At 43.3% G+C, this 24,946-nt stretch overlaps 2 long non-coding RNA genes across 2 annotated transcripts in view, besides 1 other annotated feature; one reads left to right on the top strand and one right to left on the bottom strand.

Annotated features, from left to right (window-relative positions):
• The window catches only part of IATPR (ITGB1 adjacent tumor promoting lncRNA), a 42,782-nt gene extending 24,247 nt beyond the window's left edge, over nt 1-18,535 (top strand). Inside the window, exons 2-3 of the long non-coding RNA NR_160030.1 lie at nt 17,578-17,699; nt 18,315-18,535. This is a non-coding gene — a long non-coding RNA (ITGB1 adjacent tumor promoting lncRNA). The remainder of the gene's footprint in view (nt 1-17,577; nt 17,700-18,314) is intronic.
• The window catches only part of ITGB1-DT (ITGB1 divergent transcript), a 99,552-nt gene continuing 85,064 nt past the window's right edge, over nt 10,459-24,946 (bottom strand). The window contains exon 3 of the long non-coding RNA NR_184020.1: nt 10,459-11,219. This is a non-coding gene — a long non-coding RNA (ITGB1 divergent transcript). The remainder of the gene's footprint in view (nt 11,220-24,946) is intronic.
• Nucleotides 16,131-16,632: an enhancer, noted in NCBI's record as "H3K27ac hESC enhancer chr10:33364857-33365358 (GRCh37/hg19 assembly coordinates)". NCBI's record gives its function as "activates a minimal SCP1, AML or CMV promoter by ChIP-STARR-seq in primed H9 embryonic stem cells {active_cell/tissue: H9 hESC(primed)}" and the evidence as "EXISTENCE:reporter gene assay evidence [ECO:0000049][PMID:30033119]".

Here is a 24,946-nt window from a genome sequence, read left to right as displayed (position 1 = left end):
GCTTGAATATGAGTGCCTGTCAAGCACAGAGACGCAGCAAGACTCTAGATGCTAGAAACATAACAAGCCAGATTCTCCCAGGGACTAACTGTGCTCCCTGAAGTGAAGCTCATGTCGCCTTACCTGAGAATGCGTAGACTCTCTGGTGGGTCAACGTCAGGTAAACACTGGTAGGATGATGTGAGGCTCTGTACGGCGTCCCATTGGGAAGGGGAAGTGGGACGACTCAAAATCTCCATGGTTCTTGGAAACTGCAACTTTAAGCAAAACGACAAATAATGAAACCGATTTGACCATAGGCTAATTGATAAAACAAGAGTTAAGAACCTATGGCCTATTTCTGATCACAAAAACATGACCGAACTTCCAAAAAGACCCAAAACACTTCTAATATTAAACATTGAAATAAATGTGAGCCATACTTAACATTTAAAAAAGATGAATCAAAACAAGTAACACAACGAGTTCCCCATTTATTCCAGTTCAGAGTCACGGGCAGTGCAGACTGGAAGACAGGGGCCTAGAGTTCAGTTACTCCTGCCTTGGCCTTTGCTGGGAATGAGATTATCAACCTTTCAGTGTTCTTATCCACCTCAGAGGGTGGCTGCAAAGATGCAAAAGATTATTTCAATATCTTTCTAAGCAAATATTGCCCAGTGGAAAGTGTAAGGGCTATGGCATCAGCAGACTTGAGTTTGAATCCCAGGCATTCTGTAGCTAAATGACTTCAGTCAAGATCTAAGCCTCTGCTTCTTTGTCTGTAGAACAGGGATAGTACCAGCATCATATGGTTTTTGTGAATATTAAATAAAATAATGTGTAAGGTGCCTGGCACATGTGAGGTACAAAATAAATGCTAGCTCTTTTTAAAATATAATTTCAACTTTTATTTTAGATTCAGAGGGTACATGTGCAGGTTTGTTACATGGGTATATTGTGTGATGCTGAGGTTTGGGGTTCAACTGATCCTGTCAACCAGGAACTAAGCATAGTATCCAATAGTTAGTTTGTCAACCCTTGTTCCCTTCTCCCTCCCCACCAAGTAGTCCCCAGTGTCTATTGTTGCTATTTTTATGTCCATGAGTATCCAATGTTTAGCTCCCACTTATGACTGAGAATATGTGGTATTTTTTTTCTGTTCCTGCTTTAATTCACTTAGGATAATGGCCTCCAGCTGTATCCATGTTGTCCCAAAGGACATGATTTCATTCTGTTTTATGGCTTTGTAGTATCCCATGGTGCATATGTACCACGTTTTCTTTATCCAATCCACTGTTGATGGGCACCTAGATCCATTCCATGTCTTTGTTATTGTGAATAGTAATGCCAGCTCTTTAATCCTTCTGTTCTCTCCCAAGTTGAAGTATTAAGAATTAATCTTGAGAATTAATGTTGCAGTTATTAAATGTTGTAATAAAGTATTAAAATAATGCTTCCAAAAATGTTCTGTAGGCTATAAAGAACAATATAAATATAAAACATTTTGAAAACTAACATACTAGTCGGGCACAGTGGCTCACACCTGTTATCACAGCACTTTGGAAGGTTGAGGTAGGAGGATCACTTGAGGCCAGGAGTTCAAGACCTGCCTGGACAACACAGTGAGACCCGATCCCTACAAAATCCTCCCCCCAAAAAAATTAAACCAAAACAAAAACCACTGTATCCTTTTTCATCTACCATCCTATCTCCTAGCCTCCCTTCCACAGAAAACCTAAGGAACTGTCAAAACTTACTGTCTGCTTCCTCACTTCCCATTTGGTCCTCAAGTAGCTGCCACTTTCACTACTCCCTGAACACCATTCTCACCTGTTTCCACCAATGACCCCCTAATTGCTAAGTGCTCTGGGTCTTTGACTTTATTTTAAGCCCTCCGCAGTGTTGATCAATGTTGGCCACCTCTCTTTTTTAAAGCATAATATTTTCTTTAGATAGACTGTATTCTCTACATTTTTCTCCTACCTCCTTTGACCTCTTAAAAATTCCCCTACTCTCCATTTCAATCTTATTTGAAGGTTCCTCTTCCTCTTCCCATTCCTTCAATGTTGATTCTGACATTACTCTGCCGTAGGCTCATTTCTCTTCTCACTCTCCACCTCTGTATCCTAGTGAGTATCCCATCTACTCACTAAGTTGCCCCGAGAAGCAGTGCCCATGTCTGTCTCAGGCACTGTTGCATCCGTAGACCCTTGAACCTCTGCTTAGTGAAGGTCCCAAGGGTGACTAGCTGGTAAAGGTAAAGAGAACTATGGGTCCAGGGGAGCAAAGGGCAGATGTTCAGCTCAGGAATGACCTGTGCTTCTGCAGCAGCGGGCACCCAGTGTGTTGGCTGCTAAATGAACCAAACAGAAAGAATTACAATCTGGGGAGCCCAAGTTCAGGGAGGCTTGCTGCAGCTTTGAGAAAAATGGGGTCATGGTGCTGGAAGGTCCAGGGCCCCCTCTGTATTAGTCCGTTCTTATGCTGCTAATGAAGACATACCTGAGACTGGGTAATTCATAAAGGAAAGAGATTTAATTGACTCACAGTTAGCTGAACTGTGGGGAGGCCTCAGGAAACTTACAATCATGGTGGAAAGGGAAGCAAACATGTCCTTCTTCACATGGTGGCAGGGAGAAGAAGAATGAGCAAAAGTGGAAAAATCCCCTTATAAATAATCAGATCTCTTGAGAACTCATTTACTATCATGAGAACAGCATGAGGGTAACTGCCCTCATGATTAAATGACCTCCCACTTGGTCACTCCCACAACACATGGGGATTATGGTAACTACAATTCAAGATGAGATTTCAGTGAGGACACAGCCAAACCATATCAACCTCTGTAGAGATCTGGGCCACTAAGACATCATTGCAGGATGGACAAGCATCACCTGTCAGCCTGCAGAAGACAGGCTTTCAACGGCAAGTCTCTGTGGCAATGAGATTTCAAGGCGGTCTGTCCAAACCTCCCCAGAGATTTTGCACAATTTAGCCTCTGGAGGGTAAAACTCAAGAGGAAGGTACTAGTCTTCCTATTCATAAAGCACATGAGCAATTATGTCATTCGTTGAAAAACACAAAAGAAACGAGATCTTATTTATACTTTAGTTGTGATGCCCAGTTCATAGCAGTCACCCTGGCTAAAATATCCTGATATTATATTTGTTTCTCAATACACATAATACTTATTATATTTATTTCTCTGCACCCAGAAGCCTCAGCAGGAAAGGGAGCTAACAGAATATGCATTCTCAGTGACAGCCTTTAAAATGAGTAGCAAATTTACAACTTGCTTGTATTTCTCATCGAGGTGCTCTGGCAAATATGTGCTCCCTTGAGAGCCCTGAAGGCAGCCAACACTTTGACATGCTCAGTAAATAATGAGCAAGCCCCTTACAGAATGTCATGCCATGTGATGGCTCCAGACACGCTACTTGCTAGGACGTGATGGAAACAACTTGCCGAAAGACCAGAGGCATTCAGTCCTGCTTCTATGGAGCTCCTGGCATCAATGTCACTCCTGAGCCTAGCTGAAACTGGAGCTAAAAGTGAAAGCAGACATCGTTCCTTCAAGAAAATGATGGAGCGTAGATGCATCCGATAGTTGGCATTCACATAGTAACATGTCTCTCAGGTAGAAGGTTCCCTAGTCTGTCTCAGGGGGTGCACATCTTCTTGCCTTCCTATTCCACTTAAAAGGCAACCTTACAATCAGTCACCATCTTTGGGACCCCAACAAAATGGGCAACTCTTGCCTTTCCCTTTTCCATCTCTCCTTTTCTCAAATTGCCCCTTCTCAACCAAATAATTTGGAGGAGCCACTGCTTAGCCCCTCACCAACAAAGCCTATGTCTAGACTTGCCCTGACACTCACATCCTACCCCCAACCCCACCTGTCTACACCAAATGTCATTGTCCACTTAGGTGAGTTTTCTCGGGAAATGAGTGCTTTGCTGTGCTCACTGGTTAATATGTGTATTTTTAATTTTTAAAACATCTCTCATAGGCCAGATGCAGTGGCTCACACTTGTAATCCCAGTATTTTGGGAGGCCAAGGTGGAAGAATTGCTTGAGGCCAGGAGTTTGAGACCAGCCTGGGCAACACAGCAAGATCCCATCTCTAAAAATAGAAAAAAAAATTAGCCAAGCCCAGTGTTAAACACCTGTAGTCCTAACTACTCAGGAGGCTGAGGCAGGAGGATTACTTGAACCCAGAAGTCCAAGACTGCAGTGAGCTATGATGGCACCACTGAACTCCAGCCTGGGTGACAGAGTGAGACTCTGTCTCAAACAAACAAACAAAAAAACTTTCACAGACATGTTTATACTAAAGTTTTGAGATATAAATCAGTGACCTACAAATGAGGGCTGAGTAGGTGGGAGGTAGAATAGAGTGACTCTAGGCCTCCTCAAGATGAACTGTGGTACTACAAAGATGGCTTCCTCTTTCCTCCACTGCTCAAACTCTCAAAAATCATATTGACTCACAAGTTAAAGTAACAATGTCTCATTAGAATTTGTTAAACATTAAACACAGACAGCCAACTACCTGCCTCCCAGATTATTCACAGGCAGTTCCAACTCAATACATCCTTATTTAAACTCATTTTCTACGTACTACCCTCCCCACCACACACATATAGACATGCACACTGTTACTAAAGTAACAATCTACTTCTCCTTCCCTTCAGACCTTCTCCCCACTCCTAAATGCCATTTGAAGAAAGATGGAAGAGAAAGACAACTCAAGATGAGGAAATACCCCTCTGAGTAAATCTGTACTTTGAAACAGGAAATATTTATTTTATAAAGATTATTTTTACTACAAGAGGCTGGGTTACCTTTAAATGAGTTGCACTTTTTTTTTTTTTTCCAATCAGGAATGGAGGGTACAGAACAGAAAAGGTCAATTATAAGAAACTTTCAATTTTCCCCTTCTATTACATGTTAATTTTCCACCTTATTTCAGAAAGAATTTTTTAAATGTAAAATACAGGGTAACAGACATTAAAAGTGGGGAGAATAGAAGAAAGAAAACACAGAGAGTAACACAAATGGACACAAATGGAGAGTGCTGATGACAGTGTGCATTTCATAATGAATTCTTCACTTAAAACTCCTGAGCTACAATGTAGGTTTATGTTTCCCAGCAGCTAATGATAAAAGTGTCCATGACATGAAAAACAAACCACTGCTTAGGAGAAGTGCGGCTTTCTCTTCAGGAAGTGGGAGGGTTCCTTCTAAGTAGGACAACGTTCTTATAACAGACTCATAACAATTTACATAGGACCATGTCTTACAGCAGCCTACTTCTTCTAGTACCCTCCTTTGCACCAAAACACCCTTCAGAAGAAGCGATCTTTTTAGGAGACCACTACAGTATAATGCAAACCTTCAGGCTCCAACTTCAGGCTCCCTTGTTCTAGGAGGTGAACTTTAGAATATCCTGTGAAATTCATGGACTTGGCATACATTGATTAGCTGAGTTGATCAATACTGTTCAATACCCCAAACAAACACTGAGTAATTAATAGTAAACACCACCTAGCAAGAGGCAAGAGCATAGCAGTCAATTACACCCATCTTCCATTGCGGATGAGCTGAGAGTTTCATTGTTATCTTTTTGTAGATCACCAAAAATGGGACACCACGCTCCCAAAGTTCTGGTAAAACAGTATGAACACAGATAGATTTTTAAATAAGTGGAACCAGGTGACCACTTCAGGAAACCAATCACAACAAAAGAATGTTTCATTCTGAGAAGGACTGCTTCCTCCTGTGCCTTCCAAAGTCAATGACTTGGAAATATGACCCAAGGAAAAAAATGAGGATACTTTTTGGCGAGGACGTCATCTATGAACCAGATTTTAAAAAGGAATAATACCCATCAAATAGAATAGTTTCAATTTTACATTTTTCTGATAATATCTAACTAATAGTTCCTTTGCTGTGGTAATCACAGTGATTCCATTTTTCCTCCTTCTGGGCAAATAACAGGATTACACTTTCCTGTCCCCTTGGAAGTTAGGCATGATGGTGTGACTTACTTTAGTCAATGAAATGAGAGGCAAACAATATGTCACCCCCAAATGGAAGATTTAAAAGCCAGTGTACAATTCTACGCAATCTCTTTTCCTCCCTTGGCAATCATTAAGATATAGAGGTGGAACTTTCTTTGGTCAAGGTCTCTGTATCAGGTCATGCAGAGAAGGCTTTCAACAACTACCCTATTCTGCCTCTCTATCGCACCTGCACCGGGCTACGTATTCACACAGCACACTGCTTCCTACTTGGCAGCCTTTGTATCCATTACACTGCCAGCCTGGAATGCCTTTTCCTCTCCTATTCCTTCAAAATCCACATAGATAACTCCTGCTTCTAGGACACAACTCCAGCCACCTCTTCCAGAAGGCATTCCTGAATCCTCATCCCATCCTTGACTGGCATTCGAGACACATTTTTTTTAAAACCTTAACTCCTTTTTTTATTTTGTATTTTATTTTTAATTTCCTGGGGGGTGGGTACATAGTAGGTGTATATATTTATAGGGTACATGGCTGCACACTGATTTAGTGTTGCTTATCAGCTTGAAATGATCTTCTCTCCCTCATCGGGTTTGGAGCTCTCTGAAGCAGAGACTGGCCTATTCAGAATCTTGGAATTCTCAGCTCCCAACTCAATACCTAGCATGTAATATGTGCTCAATAAATGTCTACTGGGTGAATAAATGACTGCCTTAATGAATGAGTGAATGAAAATGACTTTGTATTGTGAGAAAGGAGAGAAGTCTTGTCTCTAAGGGCCATGTAAGTATGAATATTAGATGTAAGTCTTTTTTTTTCTTCTTATGTCCAAGTTTACTACCCTTTTCAGAAAAGAAACTTCACTATGGGAAATTCATTGTTTAGGCTCTCTAAGTTTTGCATATTAACCTGAGTAAATTCTAGTGACAGCCCTGGAGCCTGTTTCAGTGTGGTGACATTAGGCAAACCCACTGAACACTCTATTTCTTCATCTGTTCAGTAGGAAAACAGATCCATGTATCTCTCTGACTCTAAGTGCCTCCCTCTACTGAAAAACAGCCCCAGATAACATTTTGAATTACAGGCACAAAGTAGTTGGTCAAGTAGCCTTTGAAATGGAGCCAAGGAACAAAATCCCAGAATAAATATCTGAAGTAGTGATGACATGTACTTCATGCCTCCAACCTAATGATAAAAATTAGGCTGGCCTTTCTCATAAAAAAACTAGTATACCAGCATTCTCCCCTCTGCTTGCAAAGGTCAAGGTTCAGGGTGTGAACAGTGTCTCTCCCATTATATTAATGTGTTCAGACACTGAAATGGCATTTCGAGCTGGTTTATAAAGAAATAGAAAAAGGTCAGGAATTCGTTATCTTCATTATTGCCCCGTTTATACAACAAACAACCATGGGCGCTCTTCCCTATTCAAGTTGCTTAGTGACAAGAGCATCACCTTCTCTCTTTTCAATAAAATATATTAAAAAGCAACCTTTTTAGGTCAAACTTTCTCAATGTCTCAAGAAATGAGAAACCACTTGCAAAACAATTGAAGATCTTTCTAAGGGTAACATGAGCTTTATTTTTGCTGATAGATCTTTTTGAGGGAGGATGGGGGCTATTGCACATTTCATATTCTTAGGATAAATATGGGTGTGAAATAAGCTCTGGTCGTAGACACCTGCTTGGCTGCAGTCATCTTTGGGAGGCTAAGTAAAGGACAAAAGAAATGTTGGATTTTCTCTCAAGATGAAATGCTGCATTCTGAATTAGCCCAGTGGAGAAATCCAGCTGGAAGGAGTACCACAGTGTTACAGGTATTCCTGATGCATCACTATCAGGAAACAAATGCCAATATAGACCATATCCTTGCAAGAATGAGCTCATTGTCACACTGGGATGCCCTCCAAGAGAGCAAGATTGAAAACTCCCAGGCACCATTCTTCTCCAGCAAGATGTTAAGAGGAAGAATAATGCTACCTGGCACGGAGGGAAAATATGATGCTTATTCACAATGACAAGGGAATCAGCTAGTGGTTCACAATTTTTCTGAATCATTATTTTATAGATGAGCTTACAGAGATTCTAAGCAGTCCCAGAATCTGACACAGCGGGACTGGAGTCTGATTCATGGGCTGGCCTAGCCATGCATACGTTCAGAAGGACAATCAGACCCTACAGCCTAGAAAAGCCAGGAGCAACTGTGTGGTTCCTTGCCCAACCCTTTTTTAAATTTTTACTTTTTGAGACAGGGCCTTGCACTGTCACCTGGGCTGGAGTATGGTGGCACAATCATGGCTCACTGCAGCCTTGAACTCCTTGGGCTCAAGTGATCCTCCTGCCTCAGCTTCCTGAATAGCTGGGACTACAGGTGTGCACTACCATACCTGGCTAATATTTTAATTTTTGGCAGAGTTGGGGTCTTAGTCTGTTGCCCCAGCTGATCTCAAGCTCCTGGCCTCAAGTGATCCTCCAGCTTCGGCTTCCCAAAGGGCTGGGTTTACAAGTATGAGCCACCATGCCTAGCCCTCACCCCTTCTGATAGTGGTTCAACAATGTGAAGAAGCCAATTGCCAGATGCCTTTGAAGAAAGGAAAGAACGTGCGGTTTCTAGAACATGCACTTTCAGAATATTTCACTAGATCTCTTAGCTTATGGTATCCCATGGTGAGAGGCTGAGATTCAAAATATGGCTAATAGCAGAGAAAAACAAGAGCAGTGAGACGGGGGGAGGGCGTGGGCTTCATTTTTATTCAGACATCTGCTTATTGTCTTAACTCCTCCCAGAAAAGTCTGCACCAAGAGATGGGCTCTCCCTTACAGACCCCCAGCACTGAGGAAATAGTTTGCACTGAGTTGGTCATGGTGTAGATAACTTGGCTTTCATTAGGGCCCAGGAGTGAATAAGGATCGGCAACTCTGCCTGCTTAGTTCACAAACTACACCTCTCTCGCCTCTCTCAGCACCACCAACTGCCCTATAGCAATCATTTAAAAGCCAATCAGAATCTACCCTGCAGCTACCTTTTATCCCCTCGGCTGTTAATTCCCCAGGCTGTCTCCAGCAAATAACCTCAGCTCACCAGTTTATCCTACGTGCGCAGCGAGTAGCATTCAGTGTTGAACGTCCACATTGGAAAGCTTATGAAAACACACACAACAATGCGCACATCTGTAACTGATGTATAGTGGATCATGGTCCATTACATAGAATTCCCACTTAGGTTTTCCACGTTAAAATCTTGGGGAAGCAGGGCCGGTGGTTCACGCTTATAATCCCAGCACTTTGGGAGGCTGAGATGGGAGGATCGCTTAAAACTAGGAGTTCAAGACCAGCCTGTGCAAGGTAATGAGACCTTGTCGCTGCAAAAAATAAAAAATCAGCTGGTCATGGTAGAGTGTGCCTGTAGTCCCAGCTACTCAGAGGCTGAGGCAGGAGGATTGCCATTGCACTCCAGCCTGCATGACCCTGTCTCAAAAAAGAAAAAAAAACACAAAGTCTTGGGGAGATAGTGGCAGTGCAAAAGTCATTTGCAAAAGAACATTTTTTTCATTCAGAATCTCTCAAGCCTATCAGAATTTGCCTGCTTTTGCAAGAAAAAGATTCATTTTGCTCAGATTCATCTCATTGTTAAATAAATCTTCTCTTTTCTTTCTTTCTTATTCTAAAGTGGCCCCAATCTCCTCTTTCTCCCTGATCTGTTTTTAAGAAGTAGATCATCAACCTAACAGCCACATTTGAAATGCATCCATAAGGTATGAAGGGAGCATTCAGAAATATAAATTCTCTAAATAAAAGTGTCAAGCTCCCAGTAAAATAAGATGGATTTATTTTTCTTTTGTATATCTACAGCGTAATTTGTTTCCACCATTTGAAGTCTTGTTCAGAATACCAGATTCAAGGTTTCTTCCTAGCAGAAAACATTAGCCTAATTCCTCCACTTAAAATGATTTAACTTCCCTGCAGATGTCCTAAGCAGGCTTGGGGTATGTTCAGAGGCTCTCAGCAAATTAGCTATAGTCATGTCCTGAGATGAGTAGACCCTTTGAACGCTTAAAGCAGATTATTTAAGAGAAAGAAGGGAAGCAGACCAGCACTAGAATAATAATGTTTAAAACCCTCTCCAGTCATTTGTAATACAGCAAAATCTTCATTTAAAGAATGCTTTATTGTTTCACAGATGCAGATATACCAAAGGTCATAGTGTGTCTCCAAAAACAACTGTCTGCAGTAAAGGCTAAATGTAATGCACTTTGGCCATGAGGTATATGTTAATGCCATCTCTCAGATTCTGTTCAAAAGAGATCCCATTTATTCAAATTCAATAGCAGGGTCTGGTGCCCTGGGCCTCCATTCACAAGCTGGAAGGAATACGGGTCCTTCCATTTTTTTTCTTTTAAGTTATCAGAAGATGATCATACTATGTAATCAACAAGCTATTGAAAGAAGCCAAGCATTTCTGTAAATTAAGTTTAATGCTGTAATCAAATAAAACTTACAGTGGTATTTTAGGGTACATACTTCATGAGTGTATATCACAGTAATTAAGGATAAAACTGGTGAGTTTATGCAAATGAATTTAATTAGTATCACGTTTATGTAAGAATTGGGTTTGGCTGCTGGTGACAAAGAATCCAAAACAAAAGAGATATAAAAAGGATAGATATTTATTTCTCTCACACATAAAAGGATTCTGGTGAGAAGATTTAACTCTCCTCCCAGGCACAGAGAAATGGTGGTTTCTAAGTTTCCGAAATCCATCCACATCTGTTAAGAGGAAAATTTGAACACAGCACGGGGCTCACTGAGTAGAGTGACCAACTGACCTGGTTTGCCTGGGACTGTCCCATTTTAGCACTGAGAGGCTACATCCAGGGAAAATCCTCAGACTGGGGGACCGTCACCCCACCACCAAGGGCCTCCCCACAGTCAAGGGAACAAGACACATCTGGCAGGGTGTCTTCGCTTAAGGTCCCCCTGTCCTGGTCCACACCTGGTGTTAGCTCTTGTCAACTCAGCTAGACCCTGCATCTAGTCGTGCCTCCTCCACCACCTACTCAACAAATACTTGTTAAACACCCATTTTATCCAGGTCCAGGTCCACCTCACACTGCACCGTCTTCCTAATGGAATTTGGTTCACCAGGGACACGAGATGCCATCTCCTTGCATAATGTCCTTTTCCTCTTTCCTCCATGGGAATTCAGGTCACCAGGAACTGAAAAGGAGAAAGAGACCATGAGAACTCTATCTGAACAACAGAAGGCAAAACCCAAAGTCCTCAACTGTCATAATATTTGAAAACTATTGTGGATGAATAAGAAGTGACTTTAAAAGATTTCCACAATATATTGTTAAGTGGGAAAAAAATCAATTTATAGAATAACAGGAGGAGTATGATCCCAGTCTACAAAAATATTTATGTATGTATGTATGTATTTTAAAAGCATATTGATAGAAAGACAGACTGTTGCCTCTGAGTTTTGGACCAAGGGAGGAGCAGCTGTGATGGGGAGGAGGAGTCCCATTCAAAAGCCCCTGTGGTAAGATGCCACCTTACCCCCATCACAATGGCCATTATTTAAAAGTCAAAAAATAATAGATGTTGGCACAGATTTGATGAAAAGGGAAAGCGAATACAATGTTAGTGGGAATGTAAATTAGTACAACCTCTGTGGAAAACGGTCTGGAGATTTCTCAAAGAGCAAAAAGTATATCTACCATTCAATCCAGCAATCCCGTTACTGGACATCTACTCAAAGAAAGATAAATCATTATATTAAAAAGACACCTGCATGCAAATGTCTATTGCAGCACAATTCACAATTGCAAAGATGTGGAATCACCTAAATGCCCATAAACTGATGAGTGCACAAAGAAAATGTGGTGTGTACACACACACACACTGTATTAGTCAGCTCTCATGCTGCTAATAAAGACATACCTGAGACTGGGTAATTTATAGAGGAAAGAGGTTTAATTGACTCACAGTTCCACATGGCTGGGGAGGCCTCACAATCATGGCAGAAGGCAAAAGAGAAGCAAAGTCACATCTTGCATGGCGGCAGGCAAGAAGATATGTGCAGGGGAACCCCCCTTCATAAAGCCATCAGATCTTGTGAGACTTATTCACAGCCACGAGAACAGCATGGGAAAGACCCGCCCCCATGATTAAATTGCCTCCCAATGAGACCTTCCCATGACACGTGGGAATTATGGGAGCTACAATTCAAGATGATATTTGAGTGGGGACACAGCCAAACCATATCACATACACACACACACACACACACACACACACACACACACACACACACCATGGAATACTACTCAGCCATTTAAAAAAAAGAGGAAAATAATGTCTTTTGCAGAAACTTGGATGGATCTGGAGGCCATCATCCTAAGTGAGGCAACTCAGGAATGGAAAACCAAATACCACATGCTCTCACTTACACATGGGAGCTAACCTTTGGGTACACAGGGGCATACAGAGATATAATGGGCTTTGGAGACTCAGAAGGGGGAAGTGTGGGAGGGGGATAAGGGATGAAAAATTATTATGTACAATGTTCACTGTTCGGGTGATGGGTACACTGAAAGCCCAGACTCCACCACCATACAATGCGTTCATGTAATCAAAAACCACCTTTACTCCTAAAGCTATTGAAATAAAGCAAAAAAAAAATTTTAACAATTCAATTTTGATAAGATTAAAAAGCAAAACAAAAAGCTATTGAGAAGGCAGAATGGAAGGACTTGGTGGATTTGATGTAGAGACTAAGGAAGAAGGAGCAGTCAGATGTTGGGCAGCCTGGGTGGATGGAGAACAGAGGTACAGTTAAGAAAAACAAGGATTGAGAGGGAGGTGGAAGGGGGCAGGAGAGCGATGGCTTTCCTTTGAAACATGTGGGACTTTAGAAGGCTGTGGGCCTTTTGGGTCAAGATCTCCAATGTACAATCAGGAATACAGAACTGGAGCTCAGAGGAGAGGGAGTTCTGGAAATGCAGATTTTAAAATCAGCCACCTGGCTGGGTGCAGTGGCTCACGCCTGTAATCCCAACACTTTGGGAAGCCAAGGTGGGTGGATCACCCGAGGTCAGGAGTTCAAGGACAGCCTGACCAACAAGGCGAAACCCTGTCTCTACTAAAAATAAAAAATTAGCCTGGCGTGGTGGCACATACCTGTAATTCCAGCTACTTGGGAGGCTGAGGCAGGAGAATCACTTGAACCCGGGAAGCAGAGGTTGGAATAAGCCAAGATCACACCACTGCACTCCAGCCTGGGCGACAGAGCAAGACTCCATCTCAAAAAATAAAAATAAATAAATAAAAACAAAATCACTCACCTCAACCTAAGAGTCAAAGCCGCAGGAACACATGAAAAACACCAGCCAAACAGGCATGATGGCTCACACCTGCAATCCCAGCACTTAGGGAGGCTGAGGCAGGAAGATCACTTGAGCCCAGGAGTTTGAGACCAGCCTGGGCAATGTAGTGAGACCCTGTCTTTACAAAAACAAAAATTAAAAATCACCCAGGCATGGTGGCGTGTGCCTGTAGTCCCAGCTACTTGGGAGGTGGAGGTGGAAGGATTGCTTGAGGACAGAAGTTCAAGACTAGCCTGGGTGACATAGGGAGACCTCATCTCCAAAAACAAACAAACACAACAAACAGCAGCTAGAGTATCAAAAAGAGGAGAAGAAAGTAAAAGTCAGAATGTTGAGAAACACCTACCCCGAGGCATCCCTCAGAGGAAGAAGAGGAGACAGAAATTAGGAACATTTAGGGCAGGAGCACGGAGACACTCCAGCAGACGGGGCCAAATAAATGAAAAATGGACAAGGAAGGAAGGAGAAGGAAAGCTCCACGTGACTGAATCTGTCCTAGGCTGGCCTCTCACTCTCTGGGCTCTGACGGTTTACAGTGACTGATGAGGGCTCTCATGGGTTCTCTAGAGATACCCTATGTGGGTGATGTTTTACCTTCGGTAAAGACAAGCCTGGGGCATTCCCTTCCTTGTCCTCTCTCCTCTCCTCTAATCTCACAGAGATAGAAAACCAGAGTGTCGGGGGATGTGGCTGGCAAATCAAAGCTCAAGTTGGAGAAAATCAAAGTCAACCACTCCCCTCCCTCTCAGCACCTACAATGGTAGGGAAAAGGGTATAGCTGTAACCTTGAATGAAGTGGCAAGTTTTGGTGATGTCTCTGAATGAGACATTAATTACTGATTAGAAGACTTCTCATTCCCTGAAGGTGACCATAAAAGTCATGGTGATCCAGGAGCAAGAGACTAATTAGCTCCACAGCACAAAGGAGCTATAGGAGACAAAAATAAAATGACTTAATAATTACACCCTGAAGCCATACTTGTTCAACATCGTGATTATAAAAGAATAAAGGTATTGGGACCACTGCTTTTCTCATGGGTAGCAGGATGTTGAACAGGACTTTTTCTGTTGTCTGGGAATTGTGGCCAAAAACCCAAGGTTGAAAACAGTAATACTAACGGCCCCTAAAGATAATTGACTTGGATGGAAGCCAGACACTTCTCCAAGGCTATTTGACCCTGCTACAATCAATCCACCATTTGCCCCCAGATCATATTTGCAAAAAACTAGTTGGAATTGGGAGTTGTTGACTTAGATGAAAGGTGCTGGGGCCTTTTCTCTCTCTTCCCCACTAGCAGGTGAAGGGGCAATGTACTCTTCAGTTTCTATTGCTTTCTAACAATTGGCACCAACTTAGTGGCTTAAAACAACATGAATTCACCAGCTCACGGCTCGGTAGCTAAGAAGTCCAGGCACCATGTAGCTGGGTTCTCGTTCAGGGTGCCACAAGGCTGGAACCAAGCTGTTGGCTGGCTGGGTTCACACCTGATGTTCCAAGTCCTCTTCCAGCTTCTTGTGGTTATTGGCAGAACTCAGTTCCTTGTAGCTATAGGACTGAGGTTTCCACTTCCTTGCTGACTGTCAGTCAGGGGCTGCTCTTAGAGGGCACCCACATTCCTCACCACATGACCCCTCCATCTTCAAAGCCAGCAAAGCTCCCAAGTTAAATGATTCTCATGCTTCAAATCCCTTTCCAGGAAGAGCCCAGCCCCTTTTTAGCACTTTCCTGATTAGGTCAGACCCACCCTCCGTAATATCCCTTTCTTTCTTTCTTTCTTTCTTTCTTTCTTTCTTTCTTTCTTTCTTTCTTTCTTTCTTTCTTTCTTTTTTTTTTCTTTTTCTTTTTTTTTTTTTTTTGAGACGGAGTCTCACTGTTTCACCAGGCTGGAGTGCAGTGGGGTGATCTCGGCTCACTGCAATCTCCACCTCCCAAGTTCAAGCGATTCTCCTGCCTCAGTCTCCCGAATAGGTAGGACTACAGGTGCGTGCCACCATGCCCAGCTAATTTTTGTATTTTTAGTAGAGATGGTGTTTCACCTTGTTGGCCAGGATGGTCTTGATCTCTTGACATTGTGATCCACTCACCTCAGCCTTCTAAAGTTCTGGGATTACAGGCATGAGTCACCACCCCCGACCAATAATATCCCTTTATTAAAGTCGACAGTGCCATATGTCAGGGACCTATTGCAGGAGCTGAGTCCATCATAATTGTAATCTTGGGGATTGTGCAAGGTGTCCACATCAGGGGCAGGCATCTTGGGGCTGGATTACAATTCTGCCTGACATGGGTATGCCCTCCCAAAAGCCACATACAGGGGGGCTCCAAAGGATCATTTGTGAAGAATAGGGGTGAAGGCAAGACTCACTGGCAGGCAGTCTTCAGGTGGACAGCCTCTGTTACAGCAGACCTGCTCCTCTGCTCTTCATGAAGAACAGAGGGCAGCAGTAACAAGGTCTACACCCCACCCCATGGCATGGCCAGGAGGTGAGAGCTGCCCTGGACATTGTAGAATGGGGAAAGCTCTGACCAGGCTTCCCAGGACAATACCTAAGCCACACTTGCTGTGAGCATGCCAGGGGGCATGGGGGCTGAGTGGTGCAGCCAGAAACATCAAGCCAGATGAGCTCCCCACATCAGCAAACTATACATGGGGAGGCAAGCACATCACCCTCCAAAGCACCCACCTGTGACCCACCTGGAGAGTCAGGTTTCTGATGCCTCCATCTACAGACATCAACAGCCAGGAAAGGCCGGGAGCAGTGGCTGAAGCCTGTAATCCCAGCACTTTGAGAGGCCTAGGTGAGCGGAACACTTGAGGTCAGGAGTTCAAGACCAGCCTGGTCAACATGGCGAATCCCCGTCTCTACTAAAAATACAATAATTAGCCGGGCATGGTGGCAGGTGTCTGTAGTCCCAGCTACTTGGGAGGCTAAGGCAGGAGAATTGCTTGAACCCGGGAGGTGGAGGTTGCAGTGAACCGAGATTGCCCCACTGCACTACAGCCTGGGCGACAAAGTGAGACTCCATCTAAAAAAAAAAAACAGCCGAGAGAGCTCCAACAACAGCAGCTAAATAAAAGCATTTGTCCCTTTTCTCTAATCACTTTGTTTCATGTCAACTACACAGCGGCTATAAGCAGAAGGTGAAAGAAATAAAAAAGCCAACCACTCCTCTCTCCTCTAGACAAGACTCTCCGTGCCTGGCAGCTCTTGGAGAAGGACATGAGCACTAATCTGACCAGAAATTTAAGTTTTGATCTGGACCCGACTGCATTTTATTTTATTTTTTTGAGACAGGCTCCCTCTGTCACCCAGGCTGGAGTGCAGTGGTGCAATCATAGCTCACTGCAGCCTCAAACTCCTGGGCTCAAGCAATCCTCCTACCTCAGCCTCTTGAGTGGCTGGGACTACAGGCATGAGCCACCGCGCCTGGTCCCCAACCGCATTATAACCGAGAAGCTGTGGGACCTATCATTAAGAGAAATGAAATGCAGATTCAACAGAACATATTGTAAGGTTGCATTTGGAGGAAAAATAAATACTTCTTGTGTGTTTCTCACTAAATTCATACCGTTTAATAAACCAATTACATTTACAAACATGCTGAACTCTCAACAGAGTGGTCTGAACTCTTGGGAGTAGACATAGTTCCAACTACCACAGAGAGTGGAAAAAAATTCAGAGTGGCCTTTCAACCAGAGCCCAGACACTGGAGTCTCAAAAATGTGTGCAAATGTACCGGGCACAGTGGCTCATGCCTATAATCCCAGCATTTTGGGAGGCCGAGGTAGGCGGATCACTTGAGGTCAGGAGTTCAAGACCAGCCTGGCCAACATGGTGAAACCCTGTCTCTACTAAAAATACAAAAATTAGTTGGGCGTGGTGGCTCGAGCCTATAATCCCAGCTACTAGGGAGGCTCAGACAGGAGAATCACTTGAACCTGAGAGGTGGAGGTTGCAGTGAGCCGAGATCCTGCCACTGCACTCCAGCCTGGGCAACAGAGCAAGACTCCATCTCAAAAAAAAAAATTGTGCAAAAGTGTGTGTGCACATCCATGAGTGTGTGTGAGACAGGGTGTGTTTGCATGTGAGCATGTGTGTGCAGAGTGAATATCAGGGTATCCACATGAGTGTGTGTGTGTATGAGGAACACATGAGATTGAACGTGTGTAATTGTATATCTCCAGTGACAGCACAGAGGAAGAGATGGTCCAAGACCAAAGAGGAAAGAAATGGCATAAGATGGGACAGTGTTCTATGATCTCTAACTGGCCAAAGAAAAATGAGAAACAAATTTAAAAGAAGACAGGTAAGTAAAGTAAGTTTAGCTGTAATTTGGATTCTCATTTAGGAACCAGGGTCTTAATCTAGAGGGAGAAGGAACTCAACATAATGTACTGTAATGGGGGTTTCCAGACTTGCTAACTTTATTCTCTCCCAAGCCATTTGTCTCTCTGTTAGTTTAATAATTTTCCACAGCTGCTGTGTAATATAACTACTGATGTACTACTGAGCCAATTTCTCCCAGCCAGTCCTACTGCCAGAGAAACTAATGGGAAGAGATAGCGCCAGGGTCTACCCTGCAAACCTGCAAGGGCTTGCAAATTGGGTCACAGTTTGCTCGTTGCTGAAGGGAACAGCACACACAGGCTGCCATCTCCATTTAATTTTTTTCTTTGTCTTGCAAACAGCAATATCTTTCTTTTGGAATTCTGAAGAAATCGATTGCTTTCATATTTCCCTGGCTCTTTAAGGAACAAAAAGCAAGTCCTGAAAAGTAAAGACATTCCTTTTAGGTCCAACTCACAGAAATTGTGGTGCAACAGCAGTGTTCGATTCCAGAAAGAGCAGGGATTCTATTTCTGTCAGTCTTATGTCTCCCTGAAACCATTTTACGATTATTTTGTGTCCTCTGTTTTCCCAGTTGGATGACTTAAACACCACCCCTGAGAGGCAGCTGTTTCCAGAATATTGCACAATTTATTGAGTTCATGAGAATCGTGATCGTTGGCAGCACCGAACTTCACGGAGGGAATCATAGGCACTTTAATTCCAATTTGTTGACTTATGGAGGAAGAAATTTCTCCCAGTGGTGTCCCTTCATCCAGGAACAAGAGCCATCAAAGTGTCACAGACTTAGAGCCGGAAGGGCTCTCCGCTAGTGTTTCTGCCAGTCCTCTTGGTTTTACACATGAGGAAACTGAGGCCCAGAGAAGTTACCCAGTAGCAGATCTGCAAGTCACCCAGTAGCAGATCTGCAAGGAGCTCTTAGCAATCCTGACTCCAAGTGTAATGCTCTTGCATTAGCTCTGTGCTGCCTCCTAGATGTTGGTCTTCTTAATGTTGATAGCACATTTGCTCAAATGTTTGCTAATATGGTTTGGCTGTGTCCTCACCCAAATCTCATCTTGAATTGTAGTTCCCATAATCCCCACTTGTCGTGGCAGGGACCCAGTGGGAGGTAATTTAATCATGGGTGTGGTTACCCTCATGCTGTTCTCATGATAGGGAGTGAAGTCTCACGAGATCTGATGGTTTTATAAACAAGAGTTCTCCTGCACAAGCTCTGTTGCCTGCTGCCATGTAAGAAGTCCCTTTGCTCTTCCTTCATCTTCCGCCATGATTGTGAGGCCTCCCCAGCCATAAGGAACCATGAGTTCATTAAACCTCTTTTTTTATAAATTACACAGTCTCCAGTATGTCTTTATTAGTAGCGTGAGAACAGACTAATACATTTGCCCTGCAAAACTTCCTTATTCTTAAGCAAAGTGATTTCCAAATTTTCTTCATTAGACACATAATTTAGAACTACGATTAACTAAACACTAACTGGGTGTCAATTACTGTACTATTTCCTGCACATGGACACATTTAGGGTCAAAGTACTGTACCAAGTATAATTTTCCTAGAAGCTATAAAATGTAGGGTATCAGTGAATGGAAAAAATAGAACATTAATTAATAAAAGAAATCTACTACAGAGAATCTTTTCCCCCTAAATATAACCATAGAGACTAGGCTGGTCATTATTTGCAGTTCACAAAAGAAAGAGGCTACAGAAATATTCACAGCTATTGAACGAGGTGGCTGGCAAGTGAATTTGGTGTAGGTGCATAAATTTGTGTGCTGGGGGTGTGTTATAAAAGAATAAAGTCTGGGTTCAGCTGGGTGATGGCAGGAAAAACAGGATCCCAGAAGGAGGCTGAAAGAGTTGGGAACAGATGGAATGACTGGCCTACATGTCAAGTCTCTTCAGCTGCCCACCTGGCCACAGAAAAGGCAAAGCTCTGCAAATGGATCATCTCGTTCTTACTGTAACACATAACAAGCAGTGGGCAACACAAACTCACCTGTGTCAATGGAAAGAGTTAAACTCTGTGACATATTTCAGAAGCTTTATTCTGAGTCAGATATGAGTGACCAAGGCCCGTGACACAGCCCCAAGAGGTCCTGAGAACATGTGCCCAAGGTGGTTGGGTTACAGCTTAATTTTATATCTTTTAGAGAGACAGAAGTTGTAGGCAGACATCAATTAATACATGTAAGGTGTACATTGGTTGGGTCTGGAAGCAGTTGTGGGGGACAGGCTGGGAGAGTGGGTATGGCTTCCAGGTCATAGTGGATTCAAAAATGTTCTGATTGCCAATCAGTTGAAAGCGTTAAGTTATTATCCAAAGACCTGGAATCAACAGAAAGGAAAGTCTTCTAGGTTAAGATAAGGGGTTGTGAAGACCAGGGATTTCATTATGCAAATGAAGCCTCTAGGCTGTAGAGAGAATAGAGAACAAATGTCTTTTATCAGACCTAAAAACTTGCCGAACCCTTAGTTAAATATCTCCCAGATGAGGTAAAGACCTAGAAAGGGAAGAGGATTCTCTACAGAATGTAGATTTCCTCACAAAAGACAGTTTTTCAGGGCCATTTAAAAAGATGTCAAAGAAATCTATTTTGGAGTAAAATACTTCAGTGTCTTTCAGGGCCTGCCATCTGTCCTATGATGCTATACTAGAGTCAGGTTGGAATTTGGTGTCTTCCCACTACAAAGAGTCTGCTTTGTCAGTCCTAAGATCTCTGTTTTAATGTTAACCCTGGTCAGTTGAGCCTGAATTCCAAAGGGAGGAGGGCATAAGGAGGTCTATCCAACAAGCCCCTCTTCCCATCACAGCTTGAACTAGTTTTTCAGGTTTACTTTGGAATGCCTCGGCCAAGAGGGAGATCCATTTAGTCATTCTGGAGGCTTAGAATTTTATTTTTGGTTTACACCTGTTATTTACCTTTTTTCTGCTACACTGGCAAAATAACCCCGTCTGCCCCTGAAAAAGGCTTCCTGGTAATCTCTCTCAGGAATCAGGGTGATTTCTCTAGTTGTTGGCGAGTTTGACAGATTGCAGGGGAAATGCTGCTTCATAATCCTGCTCCAGATGTGTTCTGACCCTAGAAGTGAACACCGAGAGCGTTCCGGTCCAACCCTACAGGAGACCAGGGAAGGAGCACCACCCAGAGAGAGAGTTCCGTACCTAAGTGCACCTTCATTTGGTATTTAAAAAAAAAAAAAAAAAAAAAAAAACAGCAAAGATGAAGGAATGTTGACAGGGCCACATGACATCAAACTAATCAGCAAGATCCCCCTCCAAGAAGTGTCTGAGTTCAAGGAATGAAAGTATTCTAATCAAACACAGAGCTTGAGAGGAGTATAAAAGACTTGGCAGAGAATCACTGAAGTAGGAAATTAATAAGGTTCAAACCTAGTGTTAAACAAGCCTTCTGAATTCCAAAATCCAACAAAGCATCTTTGGTTGTGTTCTGAAGTTAAAGAAACTATAGTCAAGGGTAACAAGAGGTAAGGGTCCCAGCTACAGGGGGCGGGGTGGGCCTTGGTTTGCTCAGTCCCCATTAAGCCAATGTTGGGGCAGGCAAAGACGGGATGAGATGAGAGAGGCTCCACCGTGCAAGCGTGAGGGCAGATCCTGCCTTTCTTTATGACGTTAATATTTTGTTCATCATGGATTTTTTCCCATTGACTTTTACATTTAAAAACATTTCACAGCTGGGTGCAGTGGCTCATGACTGTCATTCCAACACTTTGTGAAGCCAAGGTGGGTGAACTGATTGAGGCCTGGGCAATACAGAGAGACCCCATCTATACAAAAAACATATATAAATTAGCCAGGCATATGTATGCCTGTAGTCCCAGCTAATCTGGACTCTGAGGCTCTGGAGGATCCCTTGAGTCTGGGAGATGGAGGCTGCAGTGAGCCATGATTGTACCACTCCATTCCAGCCTGAGCAACAAAGTGAGGCTCTGCTTCAAAAATAAAAAAAAAAATTAAAAACACTAAAAAACTGACCAAAAAAAGACACAATATATATATATTTAAAAACCCACTTCATTTAAAATATAATTTATCTTGACTGCTGAGCTACTTTATGTCCCCTTAAATTTATTGTTCCCCATGAGTTCTCATTTGTTTCACTCTAGTCTCAGCCCCAGGAAAGAGGTTAATAGATGCAAGTGACAGATGTGAAAGATGGCGACAGAAAAGTCACCATCTCTTAAGGGTCCCCCAAGAAGATGTGGAGGTTTTAACCCCCAGTACCTTGGAATGTGACCTTATTTGGAAATAAGGTTATTGCAGATGTAATTAGTTAAGATGAAATCACACATGAGTAGGACACGCCCCTCATCCCACATGATTAGTGTCCTTATCAAAAGGGGAAATTTGGACACAGACATGCACCCAGGGAGAAGGCCATGTGAATATGAAGGCAGAGACTGGGGTGATGCTTCTATAAGAAAAGGAATCCCAAAGATCGCCAGCAAAGTGCCAGAAGCCACGAAATTAGCCGAGAATAGATTCTACCTCAGAGCCCACAATCCTGCAACAGCTTGATCTTGGACTTGGAGCCTCCAGAACTTTCAGACAATGAATGTCTGTTGTTGAAGCTGCTCAGTTCGTGGTTCTTTGTTATGGCAGTCCAAGGAAACTAACACACCATCCCTGGTCTTAAGGACAGACCGAGCACCTCTGTATCAACCAGCCCTACTTCAGCCCTGTAGCCAGGGAAGACCAAATCAGCTCTCAGCCCAGAGATAAGCACATCAACGCAAATACAGAGGCTATGAGGGCAGGGTGGGAGGGAAAAGCTTGCTCACTATGGGGAGGATGAGGCAGAGTTAGAACCAGGGCCATGATCACCATCAGAACACAACCACCTCATAAAAATGCCAGAGCCAGGCAGGTCAGGTGGACACACATCTCTGAGGATGGGTGGGTGATCAAAGCAAGTGGGAGCAAGAGAGAATGTAACATAGGACAGAAGAAATTTAGCATTGAGTAATCCTCTGGGACACAGCTGCTTCAACTTGAGACAGCCTATATGCATTTGACTGACTCTGTGCTTTTACAAGGCTCCTACTATGTGCTCAGCTCAGTAACAGTTGCTGTTATCAGAGTGTGTAAGAGTCAGGCATGGTGACTTATGCCTGTAATCCCAATGCTTTGGGAGGCTGAAGCAGGAGGATCACTTGAGGCCAGGGGTTCGAGACCAGCCTGGGCAACATAGCAAGATCCTATCAAGAAAGAAAGAGAAAGAGAGAGAGATAAAGAGAAAGAGGGTGAGAGAAAGAAAGAGAGAAGGAGAGAGAGGAAGGAAGGAGCTAGGGAGGGAGGGAGGGAGGGAGGAAGGAAGGAAGGAAGGAAGGAAGGAAGGAAGGAAGGAAGGAAGGAAAGAAGGGAGAGAGATAGAGAAACAGTGTGTGAGTATCAAAATGAGGGGGCAACACTGAACCCAAGCTAGATTGGGGCCATATCAGAACAAGAAGAAAAGGAGAGGTGTGAACAATGCTACTTCCTTGAGCTTGTCTTAAGGTTGGTCTATATGAAAAATTTGTCTTTGGTCTTTAAAAGGAAAAAAAAAAAAAACAGAAGAGATGGAGGAAGGAAGGAAAAAGAAGGAGAAAGGGAGAAAAGTCGTAAAAGCAGGAGAAAGAGTTGAAGGTCAGGTTCTTATTCCCCTGCATCTGATTTCGGACTTGGTCTCTACAGGAGCCAACTCCTGTTCACATTTCATTTTATTTTATTTATTTTTGAGACAGGTTCTCACTCTGTTGCCCAGGCTGGAGTGCAGTGGTATGATCTTGGCCCACTGCGACCTCCACTTCCTTGGTTCAGGCAATTCTCATGCCTGAGCCTCCCAAATAGCTGGAATTACAGGTGCCTGCCACCACGCCTGGCTAATTGTTGTATTTTTTGTAGAGACGGGGTTTCACCATGTTGGCCAGGCTAGTATCGAACTGCTGGGCTTAATTGATCTGCCTGACTCGGCCTCCCAAAGTGCTGGGATTACAGGTGTGAGCCACCACTCCCAGCCCTGTCCACATTTTAGATTCTTTTTCTGCCCTCCTGCTTGCACCAACTCTGAGGAGTAGGTGGATCTCCTTTGTGAAAACCTAAGCCTCATCAGCCAAGGTTGCTGTGTTAAAGATCAGTTCCCTTGCAAAGCACGACTTTTATCTTCTCTTGTGCACTCTGGATTCCAACTGCCCATGCAACAGGAAGAACAGGACTGGCTTCCACCTCAGGACAGGAGGCCTGGCCTCTCCTCTCTGGTGTCAAGGGGATTCTGGCTGGCCCAAACAACTGCCCTCGCCATGGGCAAAGGAGCCTTGACTGGTGGGTGCTGGTCATTGATACCAGGCAAGAATGAGATTAGGCATCACATGCTAAAGTGAATTCATTAGAGTCACTAATTTAACTTTCAAAAATCTCTTTTTCTCATCATTTTAAGGTTCCTCATTAACTACTTGAGGCTTGTTGCCTTTGGTTCCAATTTTTATCTTTACAACCAAAATGGTCCCTCTCTGTCCTGCTCCCTTTCCTAGGTCACTGGAGGGTGTAACCAATAGACTTTGCCTGGTGCTACGGTAGCAGGGCCCTGCCTATCATTTATTTTGGAGGGAAGGACAAGAGATAAAATAGGCAGAAATCCAGAGAAGAGGAAATAAAAGGCCAAACATTAGCTCCAGCCTAAAGCACATGGTGCAATCCAGCTTCTAGAGAGTTCTGTGCTGGGAAACAAGGTATTGGCAGGCAATTAACAAAGCCCACTTTGTTCCTCACTTGGCATAGATGCCATGAATTAGAACCTGGGCTAAATGACAAAATAAACTACTCATGCTGGTGTGATTCCTCAATCACAATTGACAGCTATTATTTAAATGAACATAGAAACATTTTTAAACGTTTCTGAAAAGTTAGTCTAAAACAGTCATTTTTTAAAATTGGATCAATGGCATCAGAATTTCCATTTCTGCCCACCCCACCCACTACCTCCTGCCACCAGATCAACTGAACTAGAATCTCTGGAGGTGGGTTAAACACATTTGAACAAGAGTGCCAAGTGATTTTAATGCATCCTGAAGTTCGAGGTCTGGAATATCATGTAGCACACTGTAAAATGAATCGGCATTTTCTTGCCCATGAATACAACATTCCAGTAAGTCCTTTTTTTACTATTTCTCAATGAGCTTCTCTTCCTCCTGCCCCCACTTTTTGCC

The sequence above is a fragment of the Homo sapiens genome, chromosome 10, assembly GCF_000001405.40.
Source record: "Homo sapiens chromosome 10, GRCh38.p14 Primary Assembly".
In the NCBI taxonomy this organism is placed as follows: Eukaryota; Metazoa; Chordata; class Mammalia; order Primates; family Hominidae; genus Homo; species Homo sapiens.
The sequence above is the reverse complement of the archived record's forward strand: the minus strand, read 5'-3'. Positions and strand labels throughout refer to the sequence as shown.